Raw genomic sequence first — 26,984 nt, forward strand, 5'->3', positions numbered from 1 at the left:
TAAAAACATAAAACAAACATTGACAGTTCTGAGGGGAGAAATATACAGCAATGTAATAGTAAGAGACTTTAGTACTCACAATAATGAAGAGATTATCCAGGCAGTTATTCAATAAGATAATAGCAGACATCAACAACTCAATACACCAACGGACCTAACAGATATAAACAGAACATTCTACACAACACCATCAAAATACACATTTGCCTCAAGTATGCATGGAGCATTGACCACAACATGTCACATTCTAGGTCACAAAACAAGTCTTAATGAATTCCAGAAGAATAAAATTATAACGAGCATCTTTTCTGATTATTATAGAATTAACCTAGATATAAATAACAAATAAACAACTGGAAAACTGACATATATGTGAAAATTTAAAAACATGCTTCTGTATAGCCAATGGATCAAAGAAGAAATTAAAAGGGTAATTAAAAAAATGAGACAAATGAAAATGAAACCACAATATACTAAAATGTATGAGATACAGCAAAAGGAGTTCTAAGAGGAAAATTTATAGTTATAAGCATTTACCTTAAAAAAGAAAGCTCTCGAGTAAACAACCAAATGCCTCAGGGAACTGAAAAAAAGAAAAACAAAGGCCAAACCTACAAAGACTGAATTAAGAAGAAACAGAACACCCGAAAAAAACAAATGACAAACAAGGAGATTAAATCAGTCATCAAGAAACTTCCAACAACAACAACAAAATGCCAAAAACCTGATCACTTCAAGGGTGAATTCTACCAAACATTTATGGAATAATTGACTCCAATTTTTCACAAATTATTTCAAAAAAATCAAAGAGGAGGGAACACTTTCACACTCTTTTTATATGAAGTCAGCAATACCCTGATAGTAAGGCTGCACAAGAACACTACAAGAAAAAAATATATATAGGCCAATATACTTTATGAGCATATGTGAAAAAAATCCTCAACACTAGGAAACCAAATACAATGGCACATTAAGAGGATTATACGCTATGATAAAGTAGGATCTATCCTTGAGATATAAGAATCATTCAACATATGAAAATCAGCCAATCTGATACATAATGTATGTTAGCAGAATGAAGGACAAGAAACATATGATCATCTCAATCAGTGCAAAAAAAAGCATTTGACAAAATTCAACATCCTTTCATGGTAAAACTTATAGACAAATTAGATAAAGAAGTAATGTACCTCAACACAATAAAGGCCAATTATCACAAGTACATAGCTAACATCACACTCAATGATAAAAAGTTGAAAGTGTTTCCTCTAAAATTAGGAACAAGACAAGGATGCCCATTCTTACCACTTCTATTCAGCATAGTGACAGAAGTCCTAGCCAGAGCAATCAGGCAAGAGAGAGAAGTAAAGGCATCTGAATAAGAGAAGAAGAAATCAAATTATCTCTCTTTGCTGATGATATGATTCTATACTTAGAAAATTCTAGAGACTATGTCAAAATGCTACTAAAACTGATAAAATATTTTAGTAAGCTTTCAGGGTACAAAATTAACATACAAAAATTAATAGCATTTCTATACACCAATAATACCCAGGCTGAGAGTCAAATCAAGAACACAATCCCATTTACAATAGCCACAAAGAAAAGGAAATATCTGGGAATACAGCTAACCAGGGAGGTGAAAAATCTCTACAAGAACTACAAAGCACTGCTGAAAGAAATCAGAGATGACAGAAATAAATGAAAAAATATTTCATGCTCATGGATTGGAAGAATCAATATTGTTAAAATGACTATACTGCCCAAAGCAATTTACAGAGTTAATGCTACTCCTATTAAGCTACCAATGTCATTCTTCACAGAATTAGAAAATGCCTATTTTAAAATTTATATGGAACCAAAAAAGAGCCCAAATAGCCAAAGCAATCCTAAGCAAAAAGAACAAAATTGGAGGCATTACATTACCCAACTTCAAACTCTACTATAAGACTACAGTAATCAAAACTGCATGGTACTGGTGCAAAAACAGACACAGACCAATGGAGGAGAATAGAAAATTCTGAAATAAAGCTGAACACTTATAACCATCTGATATTTGACAAGGTGGACAAAAACAAACAAGAGGGAAAGGACTCTCTGTTCAGTAAGTGAACTCCCTATTCAGTAAATTCAGTAACTGACCAGCCATATGCAGAACAATGAAACTAGACACTTACCTTTCAACATGTATAAATTAACTCAAAATGGATTAAAGATTTCAGTGTAAGACCTCAAACTACAAAAATCCTGGAAGAAAACCCAGGAAATACCCCTCTTAACATCCACCTTGAATAAATTTTTTAGTTAAGTTCCTAAACGCAATTGCAACAAAAACATAAAATGATAAGTAGGATCTAATTAAACTAAAGAGGTTCTATGCAGCAAAAGAAACTGTCAACAGGGTAAACAGAGAATCTACAAAATGGGAGAAAATATTCACAAACTATGCATCTGACAAAGGTCTAATATCCAGAATCTATAAGGAACTTAAAATAACAAGCAAAAAACAACAAACTCCATTAAAAATGGGCAAAGGACATGAATAGTCACTTATCAAAAGAAGACATACGAGTAGCCAACAAACATATGAAATAATGCTCATCATCACTGTTTATCAGAGAAATGCAAATTAAAACTACAATGAGATACTATCTCACACCAATCAGAATGATGATTATTAAAAAGCCAAAAAGCAACAGAGACTGGCAAAGCTGAGGAGAAAAGAGAATGCTTATAGAGTGGTGGTGGGAATGTAAATTAGTTCAACCACTGTGGAAAGCAGTTTGGAGATTTCTCAAATAACTTAAAACACAACTACCATTCAACCCAACAATTTCATTACTGGGTATATACTCAAAGGGAAATAAGATCATTATACCAAAAAGACATGTGCACTTGTATGTTCATTGCCACGCTATTTACAATAGCAAGGACGTGGAATCAACTTAGATTCCCATCAGTTGTGGACTGAATAAAGAAAATATAGTACATATACACCATGCAGTATTATGAAGCCATAAAAAAGAATGAGACCATGTCCTCTGAAGCAACATGGATGGAGCTGGAGGCCATTATCCTAAGCAAATTAAGGCAGGAACGGAAAACCAAATATTGCATGTTCTCACTTATAAATGGGAGCTAAGCAGGGAGTACACATGGACATAAAAATGGAAATAATAGACACTGTGGAGTACTAAAGAGGGAGAGAGAGGGGAGGATGTGGATTGAAAAACTATTAGTTGGGTACTATGCTCACTACCTCACAACGGCAGCAACAAATAAACTATAGCTAATTAATGTTGATGAAAGACTACCTTCTCGCCGTTTAGGATCAGCAGCAACAAAAAAAGGTGGATGATCACTTCACTTCTATCCTACCATGTAGCTGAGGTTCTTATCTAGTATAACAATAAATAAAATAAAAAAAGATTAGAAAAGAATTGTTTGTCTATAAACTCTATTCATATATGTTAATTATCTGCAAAAAATTATAACAAATAAAATAAGAAAACTACTAAAGTAAAATTAATCAAGATAGAAAGTGAGATCAGTATATAAATCCAACTTATATGCATTTGCAACAGCCAGAAATGAACTTTAAAAAATAAAATATGCTACTGAAACTAATAAATACAAAATATTTAGAAATAAATATAATAAGAGATATGCAAGTCCTTTATATTGAAAACAACAAAACACTACTGACATTAGAAATATAAATAAGTGGATCATGTTTGTCGGCTAAAAGATTCAAAAGGTTTTAGATGTGCATTTTCCTCAAATTGATCTATAAATTCAAGGAAATCCTAGTCACAATCACAAAAGGCTTTTTGGTACAAATTGACAGGCTGAATATGAAATGTATATGAAAATGCAAGGGATCTAGAATAGCCAAAGCAACTTCAAAACATAAACACAAAACTGGATAATTTGTACTCACTGATTTCATGACTTATTATAAAGCTATAAAGATAAAGGCACTGTGATAATAGCAGAAATAAAAACATATTGGTCATTAAAATAGAACAGAGAGTCCAGAAATGGATGATTCATAAATGATCAATTGGTGTTTTATGAAATAGCCACTGGAATTTAATAGCAGTAAGATAGTCTTTTCAAAAAATGGTGCTGAAAACATAATGAGCATTGACTTGAACTTCATCCCACACAGAAAAATATTAATTGAAGTGAGATAATAGATTAAACATGAAACCCAGAACTATAATTCAGTATTAACACAGAGGAGAAAATCTGCGTGAACCTGGGATAGACTACAATTTTTAACATGTAAATAACAGTAAATGGAAAAGAAAAGTTAATGACTTGGATGTCATCAAAATTTAAAATGTCAGTTCTTCAAAAGACATATTTAAGAAAAGAAAACAACAAACTCCAAACTGGAATTAACTATTCTCAACACATATTTGACAAAAAATTTGTAACTAGCATATGCAAAGGATTCTTAGAATCCTTCAATTCTATCAATGCTTCAACGAAAAGGCAGCAAACAACTCAATGTAAAATGACACAATATATGAACATTCTACAGAAGATGCGCGGATTATAAATAAGCACATGAAAATTGTTTAGAATCTTTAGTTATCAGGGAAATGCAGATGAAAATCATAAAGAGATACAACTTCTTACAGGAATGGCTGAAATTATAAAGGTATAGTGAATATAACAAGTGTTAGTTAGCAAAAACATGGAGCAATGGAAATGCTCATATTTTTCTCTTGGTAATTGTCAAATACTACAACTACTTTATAAAATAGTTTTCTTAAAATTTTAAACAAACACTCGTAATATCATCAAGCATTCCACTCTTAGATAACCCAGAGGGGGGGAAAAATGTATACACTGACCAGTTTTGTGTGGTGGTATGTGTCTCTAATCCCAGCTCCTTGGAAATCAGGTGGGAGAACTTGAGCCCAGTAGTTGGAATCCAGCCTGGACAACACAGCCAGACTTTGTCTCTTAAAAATAAAATTAAAATTTGGATTTAAAAAAGCACACACATTTACCATGATCTTGAACAGGAACGTTCATAGCAATTTTATTTGTAATAGCCAAAAGCGAAAAAGTAAAACCAAAGAGAATAAACTGTAATATATTCATACTATGGAATGCTACTCAACAATATAAAAGAATAAATCTGTCATATATATTATGACACAGATAAATCTCAGATTTTATTGAGAGAAAAGGCCAGGAACATGAAACTATGTGTTAATTTTTAAAACAAAATAAAAAGAGTTTCTGGTTTCATTGATTTCTCTCTTGGCTTTTCCCAAATTTTTGTGTTCTTCATTATCTCCGTCTTTTCATTGACTATGAGTTCAGTTTCCTAGAGTTCTTTTTATTTATCTGTTTTTTGTTTTGTTTTTTAGATTTCTAAGGAAGAAGCTTATTTATTTTAAACCTCATATTTTTAATAGAAGTATTTGAAGCTATAATTCTCTCTGAACACTGAATTAGCTAATCTCACAGTGTTTGAAATGTATTTTTATTATTATTTAGTAAAAATATTTCCTAATTTCCCCTCATGGTTTATTTTATGAAGTATTTAGAAGTGTATTAATTTCTAAATATTTATAGATACATTAAATATATTTTTGCTATTGTTGTTTAATTTTATACTGATCAGAGAACATACTTTGTATAATTTTTTTGTTTCTAAATTTATTGCTTTTTCTTATTAACCAGAATATCACCTATCTTGGTGAATGATTTGTGTGCAATTGAAAAGCATATTTCTGTAGTTGTTGGTGGAAGTGATATTAAACACCAATTAGGTGAAGTTGGCTGGTATCATTATTTAATTCTATAATGACTGTATATTTATCTACTTGTTTTATCAATTACTGATAGATTTATTGAAATTTCTAACTATAATTGTAGTTTTATATATTTTTTAAATTTCTGCAGATTTTCCTTCTGTTTTAAGCTTGTGTTTTAAACTCATTTGTTATAGCTCTTTGATGACTTCAACCTTTCTAATTATAAATTGTACCTTATAAATCCTTGATAATATAGTCCTTGCTTGGAAGTCTACTTTTTCTGATATTCATCCAGTCATTTCAGCTTTATCATTATTTGAACTGGTGTGGTAAATATTTTACATCTTCTTATTTTTAACCTGTGTCTTTACATTTTATTTGAGTATCTGGTAAATGGCAAGTATGTGGGTCTTGCTGTTTTATCTGTTCTAAAAGCATTTGCATTTTAATTGGAATGCTTAGGTTATTTATATTGAATAAAATTTTTAATGTGTTTGGGTTTAATGCTACCATCTTGCTACCATTTATTTTCTATTTATCTGTCCTGTACTTTTTCCTACTACTACTATTACTGTCTTTTAGTACAGATGGTCCTCAAATTATGTTCTTTTACTTGTGATTTTTCAACTGTACCTAGGTGGAAAAGGGATATGCATTCAGTAGAAGCTGAATTTTGAAACTTAATATTTTCCTGGACTAGTGATATATACTATGATATTATCTCACAATGCTGGGAAGTGACTCAAAGCACAGTTTCTAGTCAGCCATAAGATCACAAAAGTACACAACTGATACTATACAGTGTACTAAGTAAAATTTTGATTTATGATAGTTTCAACTCACAGTGGGTTTATCAAGATATAACCCCATTATAAGTTGAGCAGCATCTGTATTCCATTTTATCTAAGCTATTGGCTTAATAGCTATATGAGTTATATTTTTAATCTTTTGCTCTAGGATCTATAATGTACATCTTTAACTTATTTCAATATACTTTCAAATGTTACCACTTCACATAAATGTATGAACTTTATAACATTGTTCTTCTATTTCCTTACTTGTGTTGTTTGTGTTCTTTTTGTAATGTATTTTACTCCAGCTTATTTTATAAACATAATAATATAGAGTTATTTGCTTTAAACATTTTATTACTTTTAGAGTATATATATATACATATATATATAAATGGAGAACATGTCTTCCCTATGTATTCATATATCATTTATTTCTATAATTTTTTATTACTTTGTGTATATTCAAATTTCTATCCGATATCATGTTCCTTCTGCCTAGAGACCTTCCATTAACATTTTAATGTATCTATTTTCAAGTGAAAAATATTCTTAAATCTTGTTGGTCTAAAAACATCCTTATCTTACCTGCATTTTTGAAACATATTTTTAATGTATATAGAAATCTAATTATGTATTTTTCTTTCAGTACTTTAAGTATGTTATTTCCTTATCTTATGGTTTTGTGTAGTTTCGTCAGAGGCATTTGAATAAGAGCAACTCCATCTTGGATAGGGGCTGGGTAAAACAAGGCTGAGACCTACTGGACAGCATTTCTAGGAGTTTAAGGCATTCTTAGTCACAGGATGATATTGGAGGTTGGCACAAGATACGGGTCATAAAGACCTTGCTGATAAAGCAGGTTGCAGTAAAGAAGCCAACCAAAACCCACCCAAACCAAGATGGTGATGAGAGTAACCTCTGGTTGTCTTCACTGTTACACTGCTACCTGTGCCATGACAGTTTACAAATGACATGGCAACATCAGGAGGTTACCCTATATGGTCTAAAAAGGGGAGGCATGAAGAATCCACCCCTTGTTTAGCGTATAATCAAGAAATAACCATAAAAATGGGCAACCAGAAGCCCTCAGGGCTGCTCTGCCTATACAGTACCCATTCTTTATTCCTTTACTTTCTTAATAAACTTGCTTTCACTTGACTGTATGGTCTTGCCCTGAATTATTTTGTGAGTTCCAAGTACCTTCTCTTAGAGTCTGGATCAGAACCCCTTTCCAGTATGAGTTTCTGATAAGAAATGTGTGCTCCTTCTTATTTTTGATCCCCTGTACAGATTGTGCCTCTTTTCTTCTAGTTCTTTTAAGACTTTCTACTTATCACTATTTCAGCAATTTAATAATAATCTGCCTCAATGTGTTTTTCTTTGTGTCTAATTTGTTTGTGGTTTTTTGGATTCTTTGTGTGAGCTCTGGATTTATACTTTTTATTAAAATTGTATTTCAGTTCTGGTTTCTAGCCTAACACAGAAGGAACTTAGAAATTATCATCTACAGAAGATAGCTTTAAAAAATTGAAAAATTAACAATTATTTTTAGATTCATGAAAGAATTGAGATCACAGGAAAGATACACTGCCCCAAAAATTCTGAGTCACATGCAAGCAGATATGGAGAATCAGAATTATGAGAGCACAGACTTACATGAAGAAATCTCAATGGCAACCTGTATCAGGATAAGAAAACCTTAACTGTAATTGATTAATTGCTGGATGTTCAGTGTGGAGAATTTTGAGGATTTGCATCACAACAGTGCCCTTCTTAGGAAAACCCCACACTTTTGTGAGCTTTACCTTGAAGAGCCTAACAGGTTCTCACTATGATAACCAGAAACAAAGTCCTTGAGTGATTCTGTCAGGGAGAGGGGGAAAGTAGCCAGTTTGAAATATTTCCAGAGCACTCTGTTCTCTGTAACAAGACCTGTCCTCAAAAGACTATTTCACCAGCCCCCTAACCAACTGAGATTTTGCCACAGCCTGATATGGTGGAAGGGAAATACCTAACTCCTACCCTCTCTAGCTGTCCTGTTACACCTAAGTTTGGGGGAAGGGAACTGAGAAGCACTTGTGAAGGTCAGGGCCCAGGGACACAAGCTTCCTAAAAGACTGAAACTTAATCATATGTCTATAGAACACTTCTCTTCCTCCCACCCCTTACACTACATCAATAGAGTTCCTATATAATAACAGGGCAATACAAATAAAAGATATACATATATCAGAAATTATTTAAGCAGTCTCTACACAACCTCACAGATAACTGGGGAAACAAACATAAGGGTTCCAGAAGAATTTTTAGCCTCTAACACTGATAGCAGCAGGAGTCAGACATATGCCTAAGCAGATAGGGGTGTGTCCCTGGTGAAACACCACCTTCAAGCGGAAGATAGTTGAAAGCCAAGCTACAAGTCCCAGGTAAATCCATGAACCAGATTAAGAACCCCTCTTCCCATTTGGCACACGTTCCTCTGACTGATCCTCACTGGTCACCTATGTTACATATACTTACCCTTCCCTAATTGCTTTGTACACTGTTGTGTTCACTATTGAGTGATGTCTTTGTTTTAGCCTTTTTTGCATATTCACAAACCAATCAGCACATACTCACCTATTCTGAACCCATAACAGCCCCAGACTCAGCCACACTGGGGGAGAAACCACTCAATTCTGGACGGTTGACCATTCTCACATCCCTTCTCCACTGAGAGCTGATTTGTCGCTCAATAAAATTATTCTCTGCCCTCCTCACCCTTCAATTGTTAGTATATCTTCATTCTTTTTGGATGTGAGACAAGAACTTGGGAACTACTGAATGTGGGTACAAGCTATTACACAGGTGGGCTGGGGGATACACCTGGCCCAGCCACCTGAGCCAGTGCACAAGCCAGGTGAAGCCCAGGCAGGCCAAGTGTGCAGGCTGTCTCCTGTAGCAGGTAGCATGGTCAAGCAAGGTCCAGGCAGGGGGACATCACTAGCCAAAGATCCCCATCTTACAAAGTAACTGAGAAAAATCCTGTGTCTACACCTACAGCTCCAGCAAAGAGTAAACAAAGCCTAACACCTAGCCAGAAAAACATGAAACCTCAGTTATTTTTAACCAGTACTTGCTGTCCTGTTTTCCAAAAATCATAAGGCATACAAAAAGACAAAAGACACAACCCAAAGTGATAGAGAGGGCATGCATCAGAACCAGACTCAGAAATGGCAGTGATGTTGAAATTGTCCATCTAGGGATTTAAAACCACGCTGATTAATATGCTAGGGAATTTAATCTTAAAAGTGTACAACATGCAAGAACAGCTGTGTAATGTATGAAGAGAAATGAAAACTTTAAGATAAAATCAAGATGAAATTCTGGAAATAAAAAATGCTATAGAAAAAATGAAGAGTGTATTAGTTGGACCCATCAACAGTTAGGCATTGCTGAGAAAAGAATGAGTGAAATGTCAGTAGAAGCTTCCAAAATTGAAATAGAAAGAGAAAAAGAATTAAGAAGGAAATATCCTGAACTGTAGAATATTTAAAGACATAATGTATGTATAATAAGCATACAAGAAGAACAAAAAATGAGAAAGAAAAATAAATAGTTGAAGTAATATTGACTGAATTTTTTCCTCAAATTAATGATAGACACCCAACCACAAACCCAGGAATCTCAGAGAACCAAACAGAATAAATAAAAATGACATCCACACATATACAGATTGGAGAAAATCAAAGATAAAGAGAGACTCTTGAAAGAAGTCAGAAGAATAAAATACTCTCATTATAGAAGAGCAAGGATAATAATAATATCAGACTGCATTTCAGAAACCATGCAAGATTGTTAAAATTCAACAACCAGAAAACAGTTCAAATTATAAAAGATTTGAACAGACAATTCCTCAAGTAAGATATACGGATGTAAACTAAGCACATTAAAAGATCTTCAACATCATATGTCATTAGAGAATTACAAATTAAAACAAAATGATCCCACCACACCTATTAGAATGGCTATAATCCAAAATGCTGACAATAGCAAATGCTGATGTAGATTTGGAGCAATAGGAAACCTCAATCACTACTGACAATGAAATTTGAGACAGCCACTTCAAAAGACATTTTGGTAGTTTCTTACAAAACTAAACAAATTCTTTTTTTTTTTTTTTTTTGAAACGGAGTCTCGTTCTGTTGCCCAGGCTGGAGTGCAGTGGCGTGATCTCGGCTCACTGCAAGCGCCACCTCCCAGGTTCACGCCATTCTCCTGCCTCAGCCTCCCTAGTAGCTGGGACTACAGGCGCCCGCCACCACGCCCGGCTAATTTTCTGTATTTTTAGTAGAGATGGGGTTTCACTGTGTTAGCCAGGATGGTCTCGATCTCCTGACCTCGTGATCCGCCCGCCTCGGCCACCCAAAGTGCTGGGATTACAGGCGTGAGCCACCGCCCCTGGCCCTAAAACTAAAAAAATTCTTACCACACAATCCAGTAATCATGTTCTTTGATACTAACCCAGAGTTGAAAACTTATGTCTACACAAAAACGTGTATACAAATGTTTCTTGCTGTCAAAACTTGGAAGCACCAACATGTCCTGTAATAGACAAATGAATAAACAAATTTGGTACATCCATACAATGGAATATTATTTAATAATAAAAAGTAATGAGCTATCAAACCATGAAGATACATGAAGGAATATTAAATGTATATTGATAAGTGAAAGAAAATAATATAAAAAGGCTACATACTGTTTGACTCCAACTACTATATGTTATTTTGGAAAAGGCAAAGCTGAGAAGACAGTAAAAAGACCAGTGGTTGCCAGGAGTTCAGGAAGAGGAAAGAGGAATGAAAAAGTGGTGCCAAGAGGATTTTAGGATACAACTATTTTAATTGATACTATAATGGTGGACACATGTCCTTATACATTTTTCAAAAGCCATAGAATGCACAACCTCAGAGTGAATTCTAATGTAAACTATGCTCTTTAGCCAGTAAAACTATATCAAGCCAGGTGTGGTGTCTCACGCCTATAATCCCAGCACTTTGGGAGGCCACAGGGGAGGAATTACTTGAGTCCAGGAATTTGAGACCAGCCTGGGCAACATAGCAATACCCCTACTCTACAAAAATTTTAAAAATTTGCCAAGTGTGGTGGTGTACTCCTGTAGTCCTAGATACTTGGGAGGCTGAGGCAAGAGGATCACTTGAGGCCAGGAGTTTGAGGCTGCAGTGAGTTGTGATTGCTCCACTGCACCCCAGCCTGAGTGACTGTGAGACCCCATTCCCTTGCTCAATTATAATAAGTGTACCACACTAATGCAAAATAATAATAGGAAATATTGAAGGTAATAGGTTAATGGGAACTCTCTGCTCTTTCCTCTAATTTTTCTGTAAACCTAAAACTGCTCTTGCCAATTAGTTTGATCCTTTTGGATCTCATTTTTAGGCTCATTTTAGGGTAGGTAAAAATTAGCCTTGATTCTAGAGCTAATATATTCTCTTGTTTAAGTCTTAACCAAATGAGTGACCAAGGTCTCTACCACATGCTCTGTATTCAGTAAAGCCTATCCAGTTTGGCTAGAGAGAAATCAAACAATCCTTGGCTCTATATGAGCTCTGGGAATTCTTCAACTTACAACTGCCTAATAACGGTACTTTCTCCAGAAGTTTTTCTTTGGCCATCTTGAGGGGTTTCTACAAGGAATACACAGAGTGTTACTAAGCCAAAGGCTGAAGAACAACAAGAGATTTCTGTTTGTTTTATTGTTGTTGTTCTTGTTTATTTGCTTGTTCGTTTTCTGCCTAGCTTATTTATCTGTAGTGCTCTGCTCTGTAAATTCTGCCTAAACTTTGATCTCTTGATGCTCTGCAGCAGGACTACCAAGTTCTGCCTGGGTTCCCACTCCATTCACCAAAATCTTAAAATCGACTGCAAAAAGGTGAGACCATCGTAAGTCTCACCTTAATTGTTTTCCTTCTCTCGTGTATCCCAGCCTTATATTATCTGTTTTCCAAATGTTGTTACAAAAGAACAAGATAAAATTATGCTATCATTGTTTCTTTATAATAAATTATCTACATAAAATAAGTAGTTCAATTTCTCTAACTAAAAGTATCAAAATCTAAGAACATTGATGGGACAAGTCTCAGAATTGTTCCATCATTTCGGTCTCCCTACAGCATAGTACAGTATGAGGATCACCACTAGCAAAGTTTTTAAGTGAGCCAAGCCAATGCCATTTTTTATTGTTACCTTTCAAAATACTTTTTTTATTGTTATCTTTCAAAATACTTCCACTTTCTTAGCCTTTCACAATATTATAACATCCTTCAGTTCAGTCTTTAGATGGTTGTAATGATTTACCATTCCATTTGCACAAAACAAACAGCTATTCCTACATTTCTTGAAAAAAAAGTCAAGGTCTAGATTACTGTGGAAGAAATTCTAGTGATGTGACACCTGTAGGGATTTGTAGAGAAAGATTTGGGAACTCCTTTGTTAACCACAAAATTACAGAAGAATTTTCTCCTAACTTGGGTGTTTTCTTTCCTCCATTTTTCTTTAATGCATTTTTTTTTGAGACAGAGTCTTGCTCTGTTGCCCAGGCACAGAGTTTGTGCAGTGGCACAAACTCAGCTGCCTCTAGGCTCAAGTGATTCTCATGCCTCAGCTTCCTGAGTAGCTTGGATTACAAGTGCGCACCACCATGCCTGGCTAATTTTTGTATTTTTAGTGAAGATGAGGTTTCACTATGTTGGTCAGGCTGGTCTCAAACTCCTGGCCTCAGGTTGATCCACCCACCTCGGCCTCCCAGAGTGCTGGGATTACAGGTGTGAGCCACCTTGCCTGGCCCTTTAATGCATCCTTTAGGGCTCAAACCTCAAAAGAACATTTTATCTGTTCTATCTAAAAATAACACTACTAATTACTTACTCAAATTAATATACTGAGAATTCACAACAATTAATCTTTTGCTTCCACAAGAGATACTTTATCAATGTAAGATCTGCCTTGTGTTGTTCTGTGGGAAGCAGAGAGAGAGTAGTGTCCGTAACAAGAAGCAGTTAGGTTCATTGTTTGCTGCTAAAGCCTCTTTTATATTTCTTGCCCTTACTCACTAATCTACTAAAATTTCTTCAGCACATCATTCTCTTGTCTTCTTAAAGGTTTTCATCTTGCTTCTTCTACCTGAAAACCTCCTAATTTGGTCAAACCCATCCATTTTCTGGGTCTCAGTGTTTGTGTTAATGTCTCCTTAGGAAATCCTGCCTTTGATCTTTTCTCAGGTTAGTAGAAATCTTGTTGGTGTTTACTTTTGTAGAAGCTTTTTTTCTTCTGTTTCCATCACTTAAGACACAGTAGTTAATGGATATTTGTCTTTTCAACCAATCTGTAAGTTTCAGGAGTAGGGGTACCTGGCTGCCTTTTAAATCACTTTATCCCAGTTGCTAGTTCATTATCTGCCTCATAGTAGATTCTGAATAAATACACTTACCAAATAACATAATAAATACCTGAGTGCAGTATGCCCTCCATATCCATAGATTCACCTAACTACCCATTGAAAATATTTGTTAAAGGAAAAGGATTTCCCTTGAACTGAACATGTATAGAATATTTTTTCTTGTCACTTTTTCTTGTTCGGGCTGCATTCCACTGTTACCGTTGTTACTCTCATGTAGAACAACCATTTACATAGCATTTATATTGTATTAGATATTATCATCTAGAGATAAAGTATGCAGTAGTATGTGTGCAGGTTATATTCAAATATATTCAAATTAGATATTACCATCTAGAGATAAAGTTTGCAGAGATATTATCATCCAGAGATAAAGATCTTATATTATCTAGAGATTGACACAGAAGATTGGTGATTTCTGCATTTCCAACCTGGTTCATCACATTGGGTCCGGTTGGACAGTGGGTACAGCCCATGGAGGGCGAGCTGAAGCAGGGCAGGGCATTGCCTCACCCGGGAAGTGAGGGTTGGGGAATTTCCCTTTTCTAGCCAAGGGAAACCATGACAGACTGTACCTGGAGAAACAGTAGACTCCTGAACAAATACTGTGCTTTTCCCACAGTCTTAGCAATCAGCAGACCAGGAGATACCCTCCAATGCCTGGCTTGGCGGGTCCCACACATACAGAGCCTTGCTCACTGCTAGCACAGAAGTCTGAGATCAACCTGCGATGCTGCAGCTTGACAGCGGGAGGGACATCCACCATTGTTGAGGCTTGAGTAGCTCACAGTGTTAACAAAGAAGCCAGGAAGCACAAACTGAGCGGAGCCCACTGCAGCTCAGCAAGTCCTACTGCCTCTATAGATTCCACCTCTGGTGGCAGGGCATAGTAGAACAAAAGGCAGCAGACAGTTTCTGCAGACTTAAACATCCCTGTCTGACAGCTCTGAAGAGAGCGTGGTTCTCTCAGCACAGCATTTGAGCTCTGAGAACGGACAGGCTGCCTCCTCAAGCGGGTCCCTGACCCCCGTGTAGCCTGACTGGGAAACATCTCCCAGCAGGGGCTGACAGACACCTCAAACAGGCAGGTGCCCCTCTGGGATGAAGCTTCCAGAGGAAGAATCAGGCAGCAATATTTGCTGTTCTGCAGCCTCCGCTGGTGATACCCAGGCAAACAGGGTCTGGAGTGGACGGACCTCCAGCAAACTCCAACAGACCTGCAGCTGAGGGGTCTAACTGCAAGAAGGAAAACTAACAAACAGAAAGAAATAGCATCAACATCAACAAAAAGGACATCCACACTAAAACTCCATCTGTAGGTCACCAACATCAAAGACCAAAGGTAGATAAAACCACAAAGATGAAGAGAAACCAGAGCAGAAAAGCTGAAAATTCCGAAAAACAGAGCACCTCTTCTCCAAAGGATGTCAACTCCTCGCCAGCAAGGGAGTAAAACTGGATGGAGAATGACTTTGACCAGTTGACAGAAGTAGGCTTTAGAAGGTCGGTAATAACAAACTTCTCTGAGCTAAAGGAGCATGTTCTAACCCATTGCAAGGAAGCTAAAAACCTTGAAAAAAGACCAATGACTAACTAGAATAAACAGTGTAGAGAAGACCTTAAATGACCTGATGGAGCTGAAAACCACAGCACGAGAACTTCGTTACACATGCACAAGCTTCAGTAGCCAATTTGATCAAGTGGAAGAAAGGATATCTGTGATTGAAGATCAAATTAATGAAATAAAGCGAGAAGACAAGATTAGAGAAAAAAGAGTAAAAAGAAATGAACAAAGCCTCCACGAAATATGGGACTATGTGAAAAGGCGAAATCTACGTTGGATTGGTGTACCAGAAAGTGATGGGGAGAATGGAAACAAGTTAGAAAACACTCTTCAGGATATCACCCAGGAGAACTTCCCTAACCTAGCAAGGCAGGCCAACATTCAAATTCAGGAAATACAGAGAACACCACAAAGATACTCCTCAAGAAGAACAACCCCAAGACACATAATTGTCAGATTTACCAAGGTTGAAATGAAGGAAAAAATGTTAAGGGCAGCCAGAGAGAAAGGACAGGTTACCCACAAACGGAAGCCCATCAGACTAACAGCTAATCTCTCAGCAGAAACCCTACAAGCCAGAAGATAGTGAGGGCCAATATTCAACATTCTTAAATGTCCAACAATGATAGACTGGATTAAGAAAATGTGGCACATATACACCATAGAATACTATGCAGCCATAAAAAATGATGAGTTCATCTCCTTTGTAGGGACATGGATGAAGCTGGAAACCATCATTCTCAGCAAACTATTGCAAGGACAAAAAACCAAACACCACATGTTCTCACTCATAGGTGGGAATTGAACAGTAAGAACACATGGACACAGGAAGGGGAACATCACACACTGGGGCCTGTTGTGGGGTGGGGGGATGGGGGAGAGATAGCATTTGGAGATATGCCTAATGTTAAATGACGAGTTACTGGGTGCAGCACACCAACATGGCACATGTATACATATGTAACTAACCTGCACGTTGTGCACATGTACCCTAAAACTTAAAATATAATTAAAAAAAGAAAAGAAAAGAATTTTCAACCCAGAATCTCATATCCAGACAAACTAAGCTTCATAAGTGAAGGAGAGATAAAATTCTTTACAGATAAGCAAATGCTGACAGATTCTGTCACCACCAGGCCTGCCTTACAAGAGCTCCTAAACATGGAAAAGAACAACCGGTACCAGCCACTGCAAAAACATGCCAAATGGCAATATCATCAACGCTATGAAGAAACTGCATCAATTAATGGGCAAAATAACCAGCTAACATCATAATGACAGGATCAAATTCAAACATAAAAATATTAATCTTAAATCTAAATGGGCTAAATGCCCCAATTAAAAGACACAGACTGGTAAATTGGATAAAGAGTCAAGACCAATCAGTGTGCTGTATTCAGGAGACTCATCTCATGTGCAAAGATGCACGTAGGCTCAAAATAAAGGGATGGAGGAAGATCTACCAAGCAAATGGAAAGCAAAAAAAAGCAGGGGTTGCAATCCTAGTCTTTGACAAAACAGACTTTAAACCAACAAAGATCAAAAGAGGCAAAGAAGGCCACTACATAATGGTAAAAGGATCAATTCAACGAGAAGAGCTAACTATTCTAAATACATATGCACCCAATACAGGAGCACCCATGTTTATAAAGCAAGTCCTTAGAGACCTACAAAGAGACTTAGACTCCCACATAATAATAATGGGAGACTTTAACACCCCACTATCAATATTAGACAGATCAATGAGACAGAAGTTTAACAAGGATATCCAGGACTTGAACTCAGCTCTGCACCAAGTGGAACTAATAGACATCTACAGAACTCTACACCCCAAATCAACAGAATATACATTCTTCTCAGCACCACATCGCACTTGTTCTAAAACTGACCACATAATTGGTAGTAAAACACTCCTCAGCAAATGTAAAATAACAGAAATCACAACAAACTGTCTCTCAGGCCACAGTGTGTTCAAATTAGAACTCAGGATTAATAAACTCACTCAAAACCACACAACTGCATGGAAACTGAACACCCTGCTCCTGAATGACTACTGGGTACATAACGAAATGAAGGCAGAAATAAAGATGTTCTTTGAAACCAATGAGAACAAATACACAACATACCAGAATCTCCGGGACACATTCAAAGCCATGTGTAGAGGGAAATAGCACTAAATGCCCACAGGAGAAAGCAGGAAAGATCTAAAATCGACACCATAACATCACAATTAAAAGAACTAAAGTAGCAAGAGCAAATAAATTTAAAAGCTAGCAGAAGACAAGAAATAACTACAATCAGAGCAGAATTGAAGGAGATAGAGACACAAAAACTCATCAAAAAAATCAATGAATCTAGGAGCTGGTTTTCTGAAAAGATCAACAAAATAGATAGACCGCTAGCAAGACTAATAAAGAAGAAAAGAGAGAAGAATCAAATAGATGTAATAAAAAAATGATAAAGGGGATATCACCACCAATCCCACAGAAATACAAACTACCATCAGAGAATACTATAAACACTTCTACACCAATAAAGTAGAAAATCTAAAAGAAATGAATAAATTCCTGGACACATACACCCTCCCAAGACTAAACCAGGAAGAGGTTGAATCTCTGAATAGACCAATAACAGGTTCTGAAACTGAGGCAATAATTAATAGTCTACTAACCAAAAAAAGTCCAGGACCACATGGATTCACAGCCAAATTCTACCAGAGGTACAAAGAGGAGCTGGTACCATTCCTTCTGAAACTATTTCAATCAATAGAAATAGAGGGAATCCTCCCTAACTCATTTTATGAGGCTGTCATCATCCTGATACCAAAGCCTGGTAAAGATACACACACAAAAAAAGAGAATTTTAGGCCAATATCTCTGAAGAACACTTATGTGAAAATCCTCAATAAAATACTGGCAAACCGAATCCAGCAGCACATCAAAAAGTTTATCCACCACAGTCAAGTCAGCTTCATCCCTGGGATGCAAGGCTGGTTCAACATACACAAATCAATAAACGTAATCCATCACATAAACAGAACCAATGACAAAAACCACATGATTATCTCAATAGATGCAGAAAAGGCCTTCAACAAAATTCAACAGCCCTTCATGCTAAAAACTCTCAATAAACTAGGTATTGATGGAACGTTCTCAAAATAATAAGGGCTATTTATGACAAACCCATAGCCAATATCATACTGAATGGGCAAAAACTGGAAGCATTCCCTTTGAAAACCAGCACAAGACAAGGATGCCCTCTCTCACCACTCCTATTCAACATAGTATTGGAAGTTCTGGCTAGAGTAATCAGGCAAGAGAAAGAAATAAAGGATATTCAATTAGGAAAAGAGGAAGTCAAATTGCCTCTGTTTGCAGATGAAATGATTGTATATTTAGAAAACCCCATTGTCTCAGCCCAAAATCTCTTTAAGCTGATAAGCAACTTCAGCAGAGTCTCAGGATACAAAATCAATGTGCAAAAATCACAAGCATTCGTATACACCAATAACAGGCAAACAGAGAGCCAAATCATGAGTGAACTCTCTTTCACAATTACTACAAAGAGAATAAAATACCTAGGAGTCCAACTTTCAAGGGATGTGAAAAACCTCTTCAAGGAGAACTACAAACTACTGCTCAAGGAAATAAAAGAGGACACAAACAAATGGAAGAACATTCCATGCTCATGGATAAGAATAATCAATATCATGAAAATGGCCATACTGCCCAGGGTAATTTATAGATTCAATGCTATCCCCATCAAGCTACCACTGACTTTCTTCACAGAATTGGAAAAAACTACTTTAAAGTTCATATGGAACCAAAAAAGAGCCTGCATAGCCAAGACAATCCTAAGCAATAAGAACAAAGCTGGAGGCATCACGCTACCTGACTTCAAACTATACTACAAGGCTACAGTAACCAAAAGAGCATGGTACTGGTACCAAAACAGAGATATAGACCATTGGAACAGAACAGAGGCCTCAGGAACGACACCACATATCTACAATCATCTAATCTTTGACAAACCTGACAAAAGCAAGGAATGGGGAAAGGATTTCCTACTTAATAAATCATGCTGGGAAAACTGGCTAGCCATATGTAGAAAGCTGAAACTGGATCCCTTCCTTAGACCATATACAAAAATTAACTCAAGATGGATTGAAGACTTAAATATAAGACCTAACACCATAAAAACCCTAGAAGAAAACCTAGGCAATACCATTCAGGACATAGGCATGGGCAAAGACTTCATGACTAAAACACTAAAAGCAATGGCAACAAAAGCTAAAATAGACAAATGGGATCTAATTAAATTAAAGAGCTTCTGCACCACAAAAGAAACTATCATCAGAGTGAACAGGCAACCTACAGAATGGGAGAAAATCTTTGCAATCTACCCATCAGACAAACAATCCCATCAAAAAGTGGGCAAAGGACATGAACAGACACTTCTCAAAGGAAGACATTTATGCCACCAACAGACATATGAAACAATGCTCATCATCACTGGTCATCAGAGAAATTCAAATCAAAACCGCAATCAGATACCATCTCACGCCAGTTAGAATGGCAATCATTAAAAAGTCAGGAAACAACAGAAGCTGGAGAGGATGGGGAGAAACAGGAATGTTTTTACACTGTTGGTGCCAGTGTAAATTAGTTCAATCATTGTGGAAGACAGTATGGCAATTTCTCAGGGATCTAGAACTAGAAATACCATTTGACCCAGCCATCCCATTACTGGGTATATACCCAAAGGATTATAAATCATGCTACTATAAAGACACATGCATATGTATGTTTATTGCAGCACTATTCACAGTAACAAAGACTTCGAACCAACCCAAATGTCCAGCAATGATAGAATGGATTAAAAAAATGTGGCACATATACACCATGGAATACTATACAACCAAAAAAAAGGATGAGTTCATGTCCTTTGCAGGGGCATGGATGAAGCTGGAAACCATCATTCTCAGCAAACTATCACAAGGACAGAAAACCAAACACCTCATGTTCTCACTCCTAGGTGGGAGTTGAACAGTGAGAACACATGGACACAGGGCGGGAAACATCACACCCTGAAGCGTGTTGCGGGGGTGGGAGCCTGGGGGAGGGTTAGCATTAGGAGAAACACTTAATGTAAATGACGAGTTAATGGGTGCAGCAAACCAACATGGCACATGTATACCTATGTAACAAACCTGCACGTTGCACATGTGTACCCTAGAACTTAATGTATAATTTTAAAAAAATCTCAAAGAATTAGATTCCCTAGCATGAGGAATTTATCTTACTGGATTTTTTTTTTTTTTTTTTTTTGAGACGGAGTCTCACTCTGTTGCCCAGGCTGGAGTGCAGTGGCGCAATCTCTGCTCACTGCAAGCTCCGCCTCCCGGGTTCACGCCATTCTCCTGCCTCAGCCTCCCGAGTAGCTGGGACTACAGGCGCCCGCCACCACGCCCGGCTATTTTTTTTTTTTTGTATTTTTAGTAGAGACGGGGTTTCACCGTGTTAGCCAGGATGGTCTCGATCTCCTAACCTCGTGATCCGCCCGCCTCGACCACCCAAAGTGCTGGGATTACAGGCGTGAGCCACCGCGCCCGGCCTCTTACTGGATTTTTTAATGCCACTATCCGGCAGTGATTAAATAGCAAGTTCAAGTGATTAAATCTGATCCAATCACTACACTTTTCCTTTAAAATTGCTATTAGGTTTTGTAAGTAAGGAAGTGGAGGCATTTTTGTAAGTGCATTAACTCTCAAAGGCCACAAAAGTACGTTTTTAAACTTATGGATCAAGTTGTGTGGATACGATTTCAGACCCCCAGAGGTTCTTTCAACGTGTCTAGTGTCCAGCACAGCGCACCTGGTCAGAGTTTCGTTGTAACTTACAGCACCATGTTTTCTTTGGAGTGTTGTTCAGGGGTCTCTTGCATCAGAATGGCCTGAACTGCTTGTTAGGAATGCAGCTTCCTGATCTTACCGTCCAGTTTCTGATTCAGTAGGTCTGGAGTGAGCCTTGGAAAACTGCATTTTATTTAGCATAATCCCCTGGGGGATTGGGGGCTCCCCAAAGTTTGAGAACCACCGCTAAGGGCTATTATGTTTCTGCAGGCAAACATATTTTTCTTTTTTTGTTTTATGTAATACAAAGTAGGAGTTTAAAAATTTATTTTTGGTAAAACTAGAACACTGTCTTCAAATTAGTAAGAGCCTTGTGTAGGAGAAATATTCTCTTCAAAAATCCCTCCACGAAATTGATCTTAAAAAGACTAGCTGAGTCAAATCCTAACAGATCTGTCCTGTATCTGGCTGCCACCTTTCAAAATTGCTGACCTTATGCTTACATATTCGAATGCTTCCTGGAAGTCAAAACATATTTTCAAAAGTTTCTAATGGAAAAGAACTAAGCCTGTCACTTGGTTTTAAAAGGTGGAAATTGAAATAAGACAAAATGGTTGAGATTAATTTCACATCACAAGAATACAGGTAAGAAAAGAATACAAATTTCCATAACTTCTATCAACTATCTTTTAGGTTGAGGATATTATGAAATAATCCTTCCCTTCCCAACCAACAATGAAGATGATTGATACAGCCATCATACTGAAGGATTCCTACTGTGTCAGCAATTATATTAATTTCTTATAGAAATATAAAGAGTATAACCTTCAAAAACTGGGTATTGTTAAATTATACATTGGATTCTGTTAAATGATAACAAATAAATATAAATATAAATAGTTAAATTAAAAATATATAGATATTACTTAATAGGTATAAGATACTCAAATTTATGAATGTACTTAAGTTTCTTTGTTTTACAGTGAGAACACTTGGACACAAGAAGGGAAACATCACACACCAGGGCCTGTTGTGCAGTGGGGGGGAGGGGGAAGGGATAGCGTTAGGAGATATACCTAATGTAAATGACGAGTTAATGGGTGCAGCACACCAACGTGGCACATGTATACATATGTAACAAACTTGCATGTTGTGCACATGTACTATAGAACTTAAAGTATAATTTTAAAGAAAGTTTATTTGTTTTAAAATTTCATACATTATGAATTTACTATGTCCCCTATTACAATGGTCTCCACAATGAAGAGACCCTCACTGTCCTATTATGTTCCCCCAAGTAGTTTTATAATTTCTTTCATATGAGTCCTCTATCTTTCTTCAGTCTACATTCCACTGTTACTATTGTTACTCTCGTATATAACTCTATTGCTACTGATTAACTTGTTTTGGTGGAAGTGTTTCCCTGTTGTATTAGATAGGGTTCTCCAGAGAGATAAAACCAATAGAATGGATGGATGGATGGATGGATGGATGGATGGATGGATGGATGGATGGACAGATGAATGGACATACAGACAGACAGTTCAGAAGGAATTTGTTAGAGGAATTGGCTCACTGGGTTATGGAAACTGAGAAGGTCCAGGACAGGGCAATTGTAAGCTGGAGACCCTGGGATTCCATTGGTGTTGCTCAGCCCAAATCTGAAAGCTTCAGAATCAGGGAATCTGATGGCATAATTCTCAATACGAGGCCAAAAGCCTAGGAACCTGGGGACCACTGGTGTTAAGTCCTGGAGTCCAAAGGCCAGAGAGCCTGGAGTTCTGATGTCCAAGGGCAGGAGAAGAAGAATGTTCCAGCTCCAGGAGAGAGAGAGAAATCACCTTTCCTCTGCCTTTTTCATTCAATCTAGCCCCCACCACACACACACTTACAGCTGTTTGGCTGACGCCCACCCAAGTTGAGAACAGATCTTCATAACTCACTCCACCAACTCGCATGCCAACCTCCTCTAGAAACACCCTCACAGACACACCCATGATAATGCTTTACCAGTTTTCATGGGTATTCCTTAATTCAATCAAGTTGACACCTAAAATTAAAGATAACACCTGTGCTATGATAAATTGGCAACATTGATTAAATGTCCATGAACACCAAGTACTAAGATAAAAATTGCAGTGTCCAATGAAGCATAAATGAAGGTCATCTAATCCAGGCAAGAAAATGGCATGCAAATTGTTGAAAGAATGCCTAGAAACACACACACACACACACAGTCACACACACATAGGTAAGTCCAACTATCCACAAGCAATCTCTCTGTATGTGTTTTGTATCCCAAGTCAGACAAGTCTAAGCTCTTCTGGTTTGAGGAGGTAGCTAGTGTGGGTCAATGTACCTATTTCTATGAAGCCCATGGTCCACGCTTGCCTGTCACACTTCCTCACTTAGCATACTGGGAGCCAGAGCCCTGATATTTTGAAATGCTGTTTATTAATAACAAGTCCATGGGTCTAGCTAGAAATTCGTGAGATTATTTGCATTAAGGAATTTGGGGCCTGGGAGTTTACTTCATGTCTTTGTCACTTCTTGTAAGACAGCACCATTTCTTGGTAACAATGGACACTATGAGTTGGACACTAAAAAGGCTCTGGTTACATTAGTAACTTTATTTCAACTGTAGCACTTACTCTATGCTTTTTTTTCTTCTACCTAGTGTTTTAAAATGTATATCTATATCTTCTCTTTAAGGATATGTAACTTAGTGAACACTCATCTTCTTTCTCACTACTTTCAGCCTACCGTGTTTATCTAATTCCTATTTCATTTCGATCAGGGCTTTACACATTTTTATAAGTTGAAAGACTTAATCGAATTACTTCTTTACTCTTACTTTTTAGACTGTATTTTTAAAAAAAATCTCATGTGTTTATTTGATTTTGGAATACTCTTTTTCCAAAAGAGGGCTGGTAGGTGTCTTTGTGTTGCAAATATTCTGATTGTTAATTGCCTGAGTCAATATCAAGGAATTGTCTATAGGCCATCACATTTAAATGCCAGTTTGGCTAGATATAAAATTTCAGTTTCAAAATTATCTTTTCTTCAAGTTAGATTGGCGGCACCTCTCTGAAACCCTTGGAGTCACATAAAGTTTCAGAATCTGAATGACTTAAGAAAGGCTCCTTAATACACACACCATATGTAGAGTGTTACATAGCTAGACCAATTAGGTCCAGGTTATGACTCTCAAATCAAATACACCAATATATCTGCAGCAAGACATATAAACATTCTTGCTAAAATGGGGTTTTTCAAAGATTATAGACTTTTGCCACCTCACATTAGATATTTTTCTAACAAATTTTGTTACCAAATTTTCACAAATGCACAAGCTTTTATTTCCATTTGGAGGGTGTTTCAAAAGTATATATATAAGATTTAGCGTGAACAGTATAAAATTACTTCAGGTATTTTTATTTGATTTTGATCCCTCCTTCTTTTCTTTAACTGTTTATGTTAACAAATTCTAAACTTACAGAAAAGCTACTGTATCCTCAACTATATTTTCTAAATGGACTTATTTTTTTCTCCTTTCTCAGGTATGCCAATGAGTCACAGATTTGATCTCTTTGCATAATCCCATATTTCAAAGAAGTTTTGTTCATTTTTAAAATTCTTTTCTCTTTACTTCTGTCTGACTGAGTTAATTGGAAGACTCTCAAGCTCTGAGAGTCTTTCCTCAATTTGGTCTATTCTGTTGTTAATGCTTCTGAGTGTACGATGAAATTCTTAAAGTAAATTTTTCAATTCTAGAAGTTCAGTTTTTTTCTTTCTTAAAATGGCTATTTTGTCTTTCAGCTCCTGGATTATTTTATTGAATTCATTGTATTGGGTTTTGACTTTCTCCTAAATCTTGATGAGCTTCCTTACCTCCAGAGTCTGAATTCTATGTCAGTCATTTCCGTCTGCTTAATTATCATTACTGTGGGGTTGGGGTATTCGTTTGGAGATAAGGCGACATTCTATCTTTCTGAATTGCCAGAGTTCTTATGCTGATTCTTTCTCATGTGTGAGGGCTGGTGTTCCTTTAACTGTAATGTAAGTTTAGTATAGACAGTTGGCTTCATTTCTAGGTGCTTTCTTAGGGCCAACACTCTGCATTGATAAAAGAAAAACTTCAGCCAAATTAAATTTAAATGAGTTTAATTGAGCAATGAATGATCGTGAATCGGGGAGCCCTCAGAATCACAGCAGTTTCAGAGATACTCCAGGGGTGCCTTGTGATCAGAACGAATTTATAGACAAAAAAGGTAAAGTGAGGTACAAGAATCGGAAGTGAGGTACAGAAAGAGTGAGATTGGTTACAGCTCGGCGTTTGCCTTATTTTAACACAATTTGAACATTCCGCAGTCTACGAGTAGTTGAAGTATGGCTGCTGGGACTAGCCAACACTCAGCCATTGTTACAGGTGCATACCATTAAGTTAGGTTTTCAATTTTGTCTCACAAGGTTAGGGTTCATCCACAAGGACTCAAATATAGAAGTATGGAGTATGGAGTTCTTCTAAGGCCATGTTTAGTTTGCTTTAACAGTACAGAATCTTTATTTGTGGCTGAAATTTTTGCCTTAGGTTTCACAGGCACTGTATACTGGCAAAATATTTTTGGTGTTGTAATTTGGGTACAATATAGTAAGAGTGGTGGTCAGCAGACAGACTTACTCAGCTGCACAGCTCTCGCATTTTGGCATGTTCACAGTAGTGCTCTGTTGGGGCGGAGGGGAAGAGAACTAACCCCCTCACCAGATCCACTCCTGAATCTTGGAGGATCCCCCTCAAATCACTGGCACCATGCTCTCATTTTCCTTACTCGGGTGTTCTGGGCCACAGGGCTCCCTCAGGCAGGGGACATGGCTGACAAGCTGTACTCTTTCCAGACTAGCCCTGCAGAAAGAGCAACATTCTGCTCCTCCACCAGCCCAGATGTCTCATCCTTCTCAGTGTTCTGAGAGTGTGGATTTTTTTTTTTCCAGATGGAGTTTTCGCTCTTGTTGCCCAGGCTAGAATCCAATGGCGTGATCTCAGCTCCCCGCAACCTGTGCCTCCCGGGTTCAAGCAATTCTGCCTCAGCCTCCTGAGTAGCTGATTACAGGCATGCGCCACCATGCCCAGCTAATTTTCTATTTTTAGTAGAGATGGGGTTTCTCCACATTGGTCAGGCTGGTCTTGAACTCCTGACCTGAGGTGATCTGCCCACCTCAGCCTCCCAGAGTGCCGGGATTACAGGTGTGAGCCACCACACCCGGTCGAATGTGGGTGTTTTAAGAGTGTGGGCTCCCCCAACTGCTTGAATGCTTTCCAAGCTGGCAAATCTGCCAGGCTAGGAGCAGCAGGGATGGGTTGAGTTGCCCAATCTGCCATCCAGGTGCTTTTCAGGGGAACATGGAGATGTATAGCCTAGCAGAGGTCAGGTAGGGGTAGAGCTGGAAGCTGGTACTGAGCCTGGTCTGGTAGAGAGGAGTGTAGCAATTTGACTTCTCCCCAGCACCATGACTGCAGGCTCTATTGGGACTATGG

The sequence above is a fragment of the Homo sapiens genome, chromosome 1 (assembly GCF_000001405.40).
Source record: "Homo sapiens chromosome 1, GRCh38.p14 Primary Assembly".
NCBI classification, from domain to species: Eukaryota; Metazoa; Chordata; class Mammalia; order Primates; family Hominidae; genus Homo; species Homo sapiens.